At 36.3% G+C, this 12160-nt stretch overlaps 1 long non-coding RNA gene across 2 annotated transcripts in view; it reads left to right on the plus strand.

Annotated features, from left to right (window-relative positions):
• LOC101927947 (uncharacterized) overlaps positions 1-12160 on the plus strand; it is a 469997-nt gene that overhangs the window by 363011 nt on the left and 94826 nt on the right. For both annotated transcript variants that reach the window (XR_007058336.1, XR_007058335.1), the window contains one exon: positions 9915-9998. This is a non-coding gene — a long non-coding RNA (uncharacterized LOC101927947). The remainder of the gene's footprint in view (positions 1-9914; positions 9999-12160) is intronic.

Below are 12160 nucleotides of genomic sequence, written 5' to 3' on the forward strand. Positions count from 1 at the left end.
GTGGTATTAGCCAGTGATTCTCAAACTTTTTGATCTAAGGATGGCTTAACACTCTTAAAAACTGTTGAGACTCCAAAGAGTTTTTGTTTCTGTGGAATCTATGTGTTGATAATTATATTAGAAATTAAAATGATGAATTTAAATAAAAATATGTATTAATTTATTTATAATAACAGTAATAAGCACTTTTCATATTAACATAAGATATATTTAAGAAAATTAACTATATTTTCCAGAACAAAAAACAGTTTGGTGAAAATGAGAGACAGGACTAGCTGGATTTCCTAGGCCGACTAAGAATTCCTAAGCCTGGTTGGGGAAGGTGACCACACTCACCTTTAAACAGGGGCTTGTAACTCAGCTCACACCTGACCAATCAGGTAGTAAAGAGGGCTCACTAAAATACCAATTAGGCTAAAATCAGGAGGTAAAGAAATAGTCAAATCATCTATCATCTGAGAGCATGGGGTGAGGGATGATGATTGGGATATAAACCCCAGGCATTCAAGCCGGGAGTGGGCAAACCTCTTTGGGTTCCCTCCCATTGTATGGGATCTCTGTTTTCACTCTATTAAATCTTGCAACTGCACACTCTTCTGGTCCGTGAATGTTCCGGCTCGAGCTGAGCTTTTGCTCATCATCCACTGCTGTTCACCATCGTGGCAGACCCGCCATTGACTTCTACCCCTCCAGATCCGACAGGGTGTCCACTGCGTTTCTGATCCAGCAAGGCGCCCATTGCCCATTGCCCATTGCCGCTCCCGTTTGGGCTAGAGGCTCGCCATTGTTCCTGCATGGCTAAGTGCCCGGGTTCATCCTAATCGAGCTGAACACTAGTGGCTGGGTTCCACTGTTCTCTTCCGTGACCCACAGCTACTAATAGAGCTATAACACTCACTGCATGGCCCAAGGTTCCATTCCTTGGAATCTGTAAGGCCAAGAACCCCAGGTCAGAGAACAAAAGGCTTGCTGCCATGTTGGGAGTGGCCGCCACCATCTTGGGAGTGGCCCACCGCCATCTTGGGAGCTCTAAGAACAAAGACCCACCCAATAACAAAAAGATTAATGTTGGTTTGCATTTTTGCAAATCTCTGTAATGCAGCTAGATTCTCATATCTGCTTCTGTAGATTGTGTGTTACAATATCACATATCATGTAGTCTCTGGAAAACTCCACTGTATAAGATAAAGAATGAATAAGTGAAACAATAACTAAGTATTATGAAAATCGTTTTGACCTTGCAGACTCCCAGAAAGGGTCTTGGGAATGGGAAAGCTTACATTTACATTCCCAAGGCATAATAATATCACTCTCTTCATTTTGTGCCTGTAAGATCCTCACAAAGTCTTTGGTCATTATGCACCTATTCCTTTATCTGTGATCTTCAGACCCTTGGCAAAAGGGGAAATATATTAGAGTCCTAAACTTCCCCCTCTATCCTCCTTCATCCTTCAAATAATGCAGTGGAATCTTCCCAGGACACCTCAGGCAACTCTAGGCCCCAGTACCACCTGGTATCACCCTATCCATTTCTTATTCTGGAAGCTAGTCCCTCAGAACGGACAGGCAGAAGAGGTAACTCTGACCTGACTTCAGCAATGCTCCTGAGCTGAGGGCATTATTTCATCACTTTACTCTGACCCTGATGTAGTGGAGAAACATGGGCTTTTGAATTGGACAGGATTGGACTGAATTCCAATTCTTGATTTATGTGACTTGGGCACGTTAATTAATATCTTTGACACCCATTTTTCTTGTTTGCAAGAGGTTAATATATATGGTTGCATAAGGATTAAATGTGGTACTATATGCAGTGCTTGTGAGACTCACGGAAGGACTTAAAAATGATAATCATTGCCAGGCACGGTGGCTCACGCCTGTAATCCCAGCACTTTGGGAGGCTGAGGTAGGTGGATCACCTGAGGTTGGGAAGTTTGAGACCAGTCTGACCAACAAGGAGAAACCCCATCTCTACTAAAAAAAAAACACACAAACAAACAACCAAAAAAAAAAAAAAAAAAGAACCAATTAGCCAGGTGTGGTCGCACATGCCTGTAATTCCAGCTACTCGGGAGGCTGAAGCAGGAGAATTGCTTGAACCTGGGAGGTGGAGATTGTGGTGAGCTGAGATTGTGCCATTGCACTCCAGCCTAGGCAACAACAGTGAAACTCCTTCTTGAAAAAAAAAGATAATCATTATTATTAGAAAAGAGTATCCATAAGCCCTGGAGAATAAATAATGAAGAGAACTATTTGAGAGGGACATACTCCCCACCATTCATTTGTGCCTGTGTGAGAAGTTCCAGTAGATCAGTGGTACTTAATCATTTTTGCTTTTAGGAGCCCTTTATGTTCTTAACAATTCTTAAAAACAAAAAGAACTCTTGTTAATGTGGGTTCAATCTACAATGTTTACCATAATAGAATTTTTCCTTTTTTGATTTTTAAATTAATATATGATTTAAATACAGTGAATTTTACCTTTCTAAGTTTTATAATTAAGTCTATGATCTATTTTCAAGTTAATATGGTAGAGTACAAAATATAAATAGAAGTTCATTTACACAGAGACAGGGTATCAGAAATGTGCAGACAGCTCCCTCAAGTCTTCATCTGAGTATTAATGAGCATACATATAAAAGAATACAACACTGAGAAAGAACTACCTGAAAGGAACACCCAGAACCATTCATGAGACTCACACCTGGCTGGCAGTAGTTTGTGTCCCCATGAGTCAAAGTGGAAAAATAATTCTGTAATATGTAGGCACTGGGTACTCAGAAGTATATAGCTTCAGTACTAAGGAAAAATTAGCCCTAGACTAAAAGTTCCTTTGATCTCCCTTAAAAAAAAGATGAAAAGTACACCTCAAAAGGGTTAAGCTATTTACAAGAAACTTAACTGCATCTCAGAACAAAGCTTAAAAATATTTTAAGTTATATTAGTTATTTAAAAATATTATGTTATATTAAGTTAATATAACTTAAAATATTATAAAATATTATAAAATTTATTATTTAATTTACTTATTAAAATAATATAAAATATTATACAATATTTAAGTTATATCATATATTATATCCAGCACCCAACAAGATAAGATTCACAATGTTTATATCTAATCAAAAGTGACTAGGCATACAATGAAGCAGTATGATATAATTCATACTGAAAATGACAGTATATTTTTCATCAAAAATAATCCAATAGCTGAAAAAATATATCTTTTAAAATGAAGACAAAATTAATGCTTTTGCAGACATTCAAAAACTGAAAATATTCATTATTTATTAGCATACCTGATTTGCAGGAAATGATAAAGGCCATCAGGCAGAGAGAAAATAATACTGGAGGGAAATATGTATCTACATGCAGGAATGAAGGTCACTGGATATGGTTTTTTGCAACTGCTTTTGAGGACTAAGTCATAAATTCTTTGCCAAGTCCAATTTCTAGACACATACTTCCTAGGTTTTGTTCTAGGATTTTCATAGTCTGAGGTCTTACATTTAAGTGTTTAATCCCATCTTGAGTTAATTTCTGCATTTGTAGGGGTTCAGTTTCAGTCTTCTGCATATGGCTAGCCAGTTTTCCCAGAACTATTTATTGACCAGGGGATCCTTTTCCTGTTGTTTTTTTATGGGTTGATTTTGTCAAAGATCAGATGCCTGTAGGCACATGACTTTATTTTGGGATTCTCTAGACTGTTCCATTGCTCTGTCTATTTTTGTATCAGTGCCATGCTGTTCTGGTTACTGTAGCCTTACAGTATGGTTTGAAATTTGATAATGTGAAGCCTCTGGCTCTGTTCTTTTTGTTTGGGATTACTTTGTCTATTCATGCTCTTTTTTGGTTCCATATGAATGAATTTTAGAATAGTTTTATTTTTAAGTCTGTGAAAAAATGATGTAGGTAATTGGATAGAAGTAGCATGGAAACTGTAGATTGCTCTGGGCAGTATGGTCATTTCAAGGATATTGATTCTTCCAATCTATGAGCATGGAATATTTTTCCATTTTTTTGGTGTCATCTATGATTTCTGTCAGCCGTGTTTTGTAGTTCTCCTTGTAAAGATCTTTCAACTCCTTGGTTAGCTATATAAGGTATTTTATTTTTTTGTGGCTATTGTAAATGGGATTATGTTCTTGATTTTGCTCACAGCCTGTATGTTATTGGTGTACAGAAAAACTGATTTTTTTATGTTGATTTTGTATCTTGAAATGTTACTAAAGTTGTTTATGAGGTCTAGGTGCCCTTTGGTGGAGGCTTCAGGGTTTTTAGGTAAATAATCATATCATCAACAAAGAGAGATAATTTGACTTCCTCTTTTCCTACTTAGATGGCTTTTATTTATTTCTCTTGCCTGATTGCTCTGGGTAGGACTTCCAGTACTATGTTGAATAGAAGTGGTGAGAGTGGACATTCTTTTTGTGTTCCAGTTGTTAGGGGAAATGCTTCCAGCTTTTTCCCAGTCAGTATGATGTTGACTGTGGGTTTGTCATCAATGACTCTTATTATTTTGAGGTATGTTCCCTCAATGCCTAATTTGTTGAGTTTTTTTTTTTTTTATCATGAAGGGCCGTTGAATTTTTATTGAATGCTTTTTGGCATCTATTGAGTTGATCATATCTTTTTTGTTTTTATTTGTGTTTATGTTGTGAATCATATTTATTGAGTTGTGTATGTTGAGCTAACTTTGCATCCAGGAATGAAGCCTTCTTGATCATGGTGAAATAACTTTTTGATATGCTACTGGATTTGATTTGCTCATATTTTGTGGAGGATTTTATTAGGATTATTGGGCTGCAGTTTTCTTTTTTTGGTGTCTCTTTCACTGATTTTGGTATTAGGATGATACTGGTTTCGTAGAATGGGTTAGGGAGTGATATGGTTTGGCTGTGTCCCCACCCAAATCGCATCTTGAATTGTAGCTCACATAATTTCCATGTGTTGTGGAAGGAACCCAGTGGAAGATAATTGAATCATGGCAGTGGTTTCCCCCATACTGTTCTTTTGGTAGTGAATAAGTCTCATGAGATCTGATGGTTTCATAAGAGGAAACCTCTTTTGCTTGGTTTGTCATTCTCTCTCATGACTGCTGCCATGTAAGACATGCCTTTTGCCTTCTGCCATGATTGTGAGGCCTCCCCAGCCACATGGAACTGTGAGTCCATTAAACCTCTTTTTCTTTATAAATTACCCAGTCTCCGGTATGTCTTTATCAGCAGTGTAAAAATGGACTAATACAGAAAGGAATTCTTCCTCCTTGATGTTTTGGAATAGTTTCAGTAGACTTGGTACCGGCTTTTCACTGGTAGAATTTGCCTATTAATCCATCTAATCTAGAGCTTTTTTGTTTGGTAGGTTTTTTTATTACTGATTCAATTTCATAACCATTCTTAATCTGTCTAGGGTTTCAATTTTTTCCTATTCCGTCATGTGAGACTGTGTGTTTCCATGATTATATTCATTTTCTCTAGATTTTCCAGTTTGCGCACATAGAAGTATTCATAATAGTCTCTGAGGATCTTTTGAATTTCTCTGGGATCATTTGTAATCTGTTCTTTGTCATTTCTGGTTGTACTCCTTTGGATCTTCTCGTTTTTTGTTTCTTTGTTAATCTAGCTAGTGGTCTATCAATCTTGTTTTTCCTTTCAAATAACTAACTTTTTATTTGGTTGATACTTTGTATGATTTTTTGAGTCTTGATTTTGTTTTGTTTGACTCTGATTTTAGTTATTTCTTTTCTTCTGCTAGCTTTGGAATTATTCTTTCTTTTCTAGTTCCTTGCATATGATATTAGACTGTTAATGTGAGATCTTTCTATCTTCTTGATGTAGGTTTTTAACTTTATAGACTTTCCTCTTAACACTGCTTTAGATACATCCTAGAGGTTTTGGTATGTAGTGTCTCTATCTTCATTTATTTCAAAGAATTTTTAAATTTCTGCCTTATTTTTTGTGTATCCAAAAGTCATTCAGGAGCAAGTTGTTTAGTTTCCATGTAATTGTGTGGCTTTGAGAATTCTTTTATTGTTGGTTTCTATTTTAATTCCACTGTGGTTGGAGAATATGCTTGTTAAAATTTCAATTTTTTTGAATTTATTGAGACTTTTTTATGAATGAATATGTGGTTGATCTTAGAGTATGTTTCATGTGCAGATAAGAATAATTTATATTCTGTGGTTGTTGGGTGGAATATTCTTTATATATTTATAAGGTCCTATTGGTTAAGTGTTCAATTTTTAAGTCCAGAATTTCTTTGTTAGTTTTATAACTTGATGATCTGTCTAATGCTGTCAGTGGGGTATTGAAGTTCCTCACTGTTATTGTGTGACTAAGTCTCTTCCTAGGTTTAGAAGTAATTGTTTTATAAACCTGGGAGCTCCAATGTTGGGTGCATATATACTTAGGGTAAGTAAGTCTTCTTGTTGAATTGAACTATTTATCATTGTGTAATTCCCTTTTTTACCATTGTTGGTTTAAAGTATGTTTTATCTAATACAAGAATAGTGACTCTTGCTCTTTTTTTTTTTTTTTTTTTGAGATCTTGCTCTGTCTCCCAGGCTGAGTACAGTGGCGGGATCTCGGCTCACTGCAAGCTCGACCTCCTGGGTTCACGTCATTCTCCTGCCTCAGCCTCCCGAATAGCTGGGACTACAGGCGCCCACCACCATGCTTGGCTAATTTTTTGTATTTTTAGTAGAGACTGGGTTTCACCATGTTAGCCAGGATGGCCTTGATCTCCTGACCTCATGATTTGCCCCCCTCGGCCTCCCAAAGTGCTGGGATTACAGGTGTGAGCCACTGCCCCCAGGCGACTCTTGTTCTTTTTTTGTTTTTCATTTTCATGACAGATCTTTCTTAATCTCTTTACTTTGAGCTTTTGGGTGTCATTGCATGTGAGATGGGTCTCTCGAAGACAGCAGAAGGTTCTGTCTTGCTTTATTTCAATCCAGTTTGCCACTTTGTGTCTTAAGTGGTGTGTTTAGACTGTTTACATTCAAGATTAATATTTATATGTGTGGTTTTGTTCCTGTCATGGTGTTGTCACCATGTTGCTTTGTAGACTTGATTGTGTAGTTGCTTTATAAGGTCTGTGGGCTGTGGTAGCAGGTGTCCTTTTTTCATTTCTATGTTTAAAACTCCCTTAAGCATCTCTTGTAAGGCCTGTCTAGTGGTAATGAACTCTCTTAGCAATTGCTTATCTGGGAAATATTTAATTTCTCCTTTGCTTATGAAGCCTAATTTGGCAGGATATGAAATTCTTCGTTGAAATGTTGTTCTCTTTAATAATGCTAAAAATAGACCCTGATCTCTTCTGTCTTATAAGGTTTCTGCTGAGAAGTTTGCTGTTAAGCTGATGGGATTCCATTTGTAGGTAACATGACCCTTTTCTCTAGCTGCCTTTAAGATTTTTTTTCCCCCATTGACCTTGGAAAGCCTGATACCTATGTGCCTCAGGATGGTCATCTTGCATAGTATCTTGCAGGAGTTCTCTGAACTTATTGAATCTGCATGTCAACCTCTCCGGTAATATTGGGGACACTTTTGTGGATTATATTCTCAAATATGTTCTGCAGGTTGTTTATTCTCTCTTCTTCTCTTTCAGGTATGCCATTGAGTTGTGGATTTGGTTCACTTTATATAATCCCGCTTTGTCCATATTAAAATTTATTAGGTTTTCTTTATTTTTGTCTGGCTTGATTGATTCGGAGGACTGATCCTTGAGCTCTGAAATTCTTTCCTCTGTTTGGTCTAGCCTACTGTTAAGGCTTCAAATTATATTTTGAAATTCCTCTAGTGAATTTTAAAATTCTAGACATTCAGTTTGGTTGTTTCTTAATATATCTATGCCATCTTTCAAATCTAGGATTGTGTTTCTGGTTTCACTGGATTGGATTTCCACTTTCTCTTAGATCTTGTTGAGTTTCCTCACTATCTAGGTTCTGAATTCTATATCTGTCATTTCAGACATTTCAATCTCATTAGGATCCATTGCTAGGAAGCTAGTGTGATCCTTTGGATGTAATGAAATGCTCTAGCTTTTTGAATTGCCAGATGAACTTATGGTTTTTAACAAATACATGACAGATAGATAGATGGATAAATAGACATTAGTTTGTATACATACATATATTTCTATACTCTAGGATCTGGAAACAGTGGTATTCCCACAGCAATGAGGACACCCAGCACTCAGAGATCTTGATTTCTAAATACCATCTTCAGTAAAAGGAACTAGGCTTCTTGGGAGAACTGGTTGATCCAGGGCTGGAGCAGGAAAAGTACAAAATGAGGCTGAAACATTTTGTGGTATCAGATAGTAAGAAAGTCTCAGAGGAACAAATGAGCCAATAAGAAAAACTTCCAATGGCCAAAGATGGAACAATTGGAGCAATAATGTAATTTATGATAATATATGCAATCTAAAGAATAAGATAAATGTCCATGACTCCACATTGATATGTTAATGATTGAATAAATAAATAAGTGAGTGATAAAGAACAACATTTACAGAGTTATTTAAACTACATATTTACATGGTGTATTAGTCCATTTTCATACTGCTATGAAGAAATACCCTAGACTGGTTAATTTATAGGCAAAAAGAGGTTTAATAGACTCACAATTCCACATGGCTGGGGAGGCCTCACAGTTATGGCAGAGGTAAACAACATCTTACATGACAGCAGGCAAGAGAGCGTGTGCAGGGGAACTGCCCTGTATAAAACCATCAGATCTCATGAGACGTATTCGCTATCAGGAGAACAGCCTGGGAAAAACCACCCCCATGATTAAATTACCTCCCACAGGGTCCTTTCCACAATATGTGGGGATTAGGAGAGCTACAATTTAAGATGAGATTTGGGTGGGGACACAGCCAAACCACATCAAATGAAATGAGGGAAATAGGAAATCACCATTAGAACACCATAATAATACAATCCACCAATAAATGCTAAAATTAGTGGGCAAAAGTTTAAGGATAAATAAGGTTTTGCATAGACCAAATTTTTATTGATTACAAAGTGAAAAGTTGTGATTTACTATGGAGAAACCTGGTAGACACAGCCTTAACCAAATAATTAAATTTATTATCACCAGTGTCAAGACATATTGATATCATATATTCCCGGAGAAATACACATCACCACCTCTGTGGCATTCCCTTCGCATATCCGTAACTTTAATCTAATCATGAGAAAATATCAGACAAACCCAAGTTGAGGGCCATTCTACAAAATCTCTTACCAGTACTGTTTTAAAATGTCAAGGTCATGCAGGACAAGTACAACTGACTATCAGATCAGACAATACTAAAGAGATATGACTACTAAATGCAATGTAGTACCCTGAACTAGATCCTGGATCAGAGTAAATATGTTAATGTAAAATCTTTTGAAATCCAAATAAATTCTGTAGTTTAGTTAGTAGTATTATATCAATGTTGATTCCTTAGTTTTGGTAGCTGCATTATGATTATATGAAATGTTGACAGAGGAAACTGGGTGAAGGGTATACTGGAACTGTTTGTGCTATCTTTGTAACTCTTCCGTAAGCTTAAAATGGTGTCCAAAACTAAAAGCTTTTAAAATAGTTCAGGAAATAACCTAGTGAGAAAAGTGGCATTGTTTTACATTTTTGAAAATCAATTTAATGAATGTCTTTAATGGGAATCAGATGGATTCTGAATTTTACATTCAATCTGTTACAATATTATGTGTCATATAGCCTCTGGAAACCCAACTATATATTTGTAAGAAAATGGGAGTGAAAAAGGCAATGGTGTCATCATAAAAGTAGTTTTGACTTTGTGGATTCCTGGAAAGGGTTTATGGGTGCCTTGGCCCTCTAACACATTTGAGAACCAGTGAATTAGAGTAACACTCTTGAGTTCTCTTTACCATTTAGGGTGATTGCTGAGTTCTGGAGACAGACTGGGCTTCTGCTTTCTTTTGGTGGAGGTGTCTGCTTGCAGAAAATTTATGTTCTGGGGTGAGTATTTAATTTTGAATAACGTTATCAAGCTCATTTTTGGCTACATCTAACTGTATTGAAAAAATAGCTTTGTTACTATTAAATCAGACCTATTGATCTCTATCTACAAGAGTCCTGCTGTATATCTTGGTTAATTCAGAGCTTGGCTACATCTAACTGTATTGAACAAATAGCTTTGTTACTATTAAATCAGATCTATTGATCTCTATCCACAAGAGTCCTGCTGTATGTCTTGGTTAATTCAGAGCTTGGCCTGGGATCAGAGGTGTTGTTTTCCTCCTATATCCATGATATGAGCTTGTGTGATTCACAATGGAAGGATAAAGGAGGACAACACGGCAATAAATAGGGAGTGATGGGAAAAATCGTCCAGAGTAAAGTATCAGGTTCACCAGGGTAATCCATGGATCCTTTCTCTGAGTTCATTCCAGCCCAGAGAAGGATTCCTTCTTTGTGTGATACCTGCAATACTAAATTTACTTAGGTTCAAAAGCATTAATAATAAAGTAAATGACTATCATATGTGTCTGGTTATAAATCTTTTCTTCCTCCCATGATGAAAGCTTGGCTACTCATTTTTACTCTGAAGTTCATAGTCATCTTCCTCTTGAACTAAATTCTGGGGAAAGATTGATAAGCCATTTCAATATGGCATCCTATGACAAATAAAGCTTTGGAAACTCAGACATTTAGCCCCTTCCAAACTCAGAAGACAGCTGCTACCCACACGGTCACTCAATAATCACAACATGTTCCCAAATCTTGCTTTGTGGCTGAATTTTTAAAGTACCTCTAGAGTTATGATTGGACAATCTGTTTCTGTTTTACTATAATTACTATTTAATTTGTACTCTACTAATCCAGAATTTTGCATAAACATCCCTCCTATGATTCCTGCTTAATAGAATATTGAAAATCATTTCCTCATTGAAAATGTTTTGAGCTATTAAGAATAAAATACTCTGTTTTCAGAGCAGTTTTTACATTTTCCAAACTAAGGGAGCTGAAACAGTAAAGATTCTTTTAGCTTGCCTTTCGTTTTCAGGACTAGCAGGTTCCTGTAATATAAAGGTCTTTGGGGTTTTTAGTGCAAGCCTATTGAGAACTGTAATTTATTTCACCTCATTTCACTTATAAATGATACTATTTTACATGTTCCATGTAAAAGGAAAAAATAATATTTCCTTAAAAATTATTCTATACATTCCTATAATTTAGCCTTGTGTGTGATGATGACCTTTTTCTATAAAAGAAAAATGTATGTAAATGCTGGTATAAGTTAATTATAAATAATGTTGTTGACATGTACAACCTAAGGCACACTTAGAAAATATATTCATATAGCTGGGCGCAGTGGCTCACGCCTATAATCCCAGCACTTTGGGAGGCCGAGACAGGTGAATCACAAGGTCAGGGGTTCCAGACCCGCCTGGCCAACATGGTGAAACCCCTTCTCTACTAAAAATACAAAAAATTAGCTGGGCGTGGTAGTGGGTGCCTGTAATCCCAGCTACTCAGGAGGCTGAGGCAGGAGAATGGCGTGAATCCAGGAGGTGGAGGTTGCAGTGAGCTGAGATTGTGCCCCTGCACTCCAGCCCAGACGACAGTGCAAGACTCCATCTCAAAAAAAAAAAAAAAAAAAAAAAAAAAAAAAAAAAAAAAAAAGAAAGAAAGAAAAGAAAATATATTCATATAACCCTGATTTTGGTAAAACACATTTCTACATATTCATTTCTGAGGCACAGGGTTTCTTATACAGTCACCTGTTTTGAGGTATTTAAAACACTTTTTAGTTTTGTGCTAGTTGCAAAAAATGACATTTTAACATAAACTATCAGTTTTACTTGCAGAGTTTGGTGTAAAAAATATGAAGATTTTATCTCCAAAATTAAGATACTTCTATATACCTTTCCACACATCTCAAATTTGTGAAGTTTAAGAGGATTTTAGAAGTGATCAGTATCAGTTTACAAAATTACTTGGAACATGTGTTAATCAGTCATCTTCCTTTGCCAAGCTGACTCTGAAATTCATGGAAGGTACCTACACACCAAACTTTAAGTGATTGCATATGCTAGCTTCTAAATATTTATGAGGATTCTTTCAATTTTAGCATTTTGGGTACTAGCAAACAGTCTATTCCCATTACCAAATTCCTA

This window comes from Homo sapiens, chromosome 4, assembly GCF_000001405.40.
Source record: "Homo sapiens chromosome 4, GRCh38.p14 Primary Assembly".
In the NCBI taxonomy this organism is placed as follows: Eukaryota; Metazoa; Chordata; class Mammalia; order Primates; family Hominidae; genus Homo; species Homo sapiens.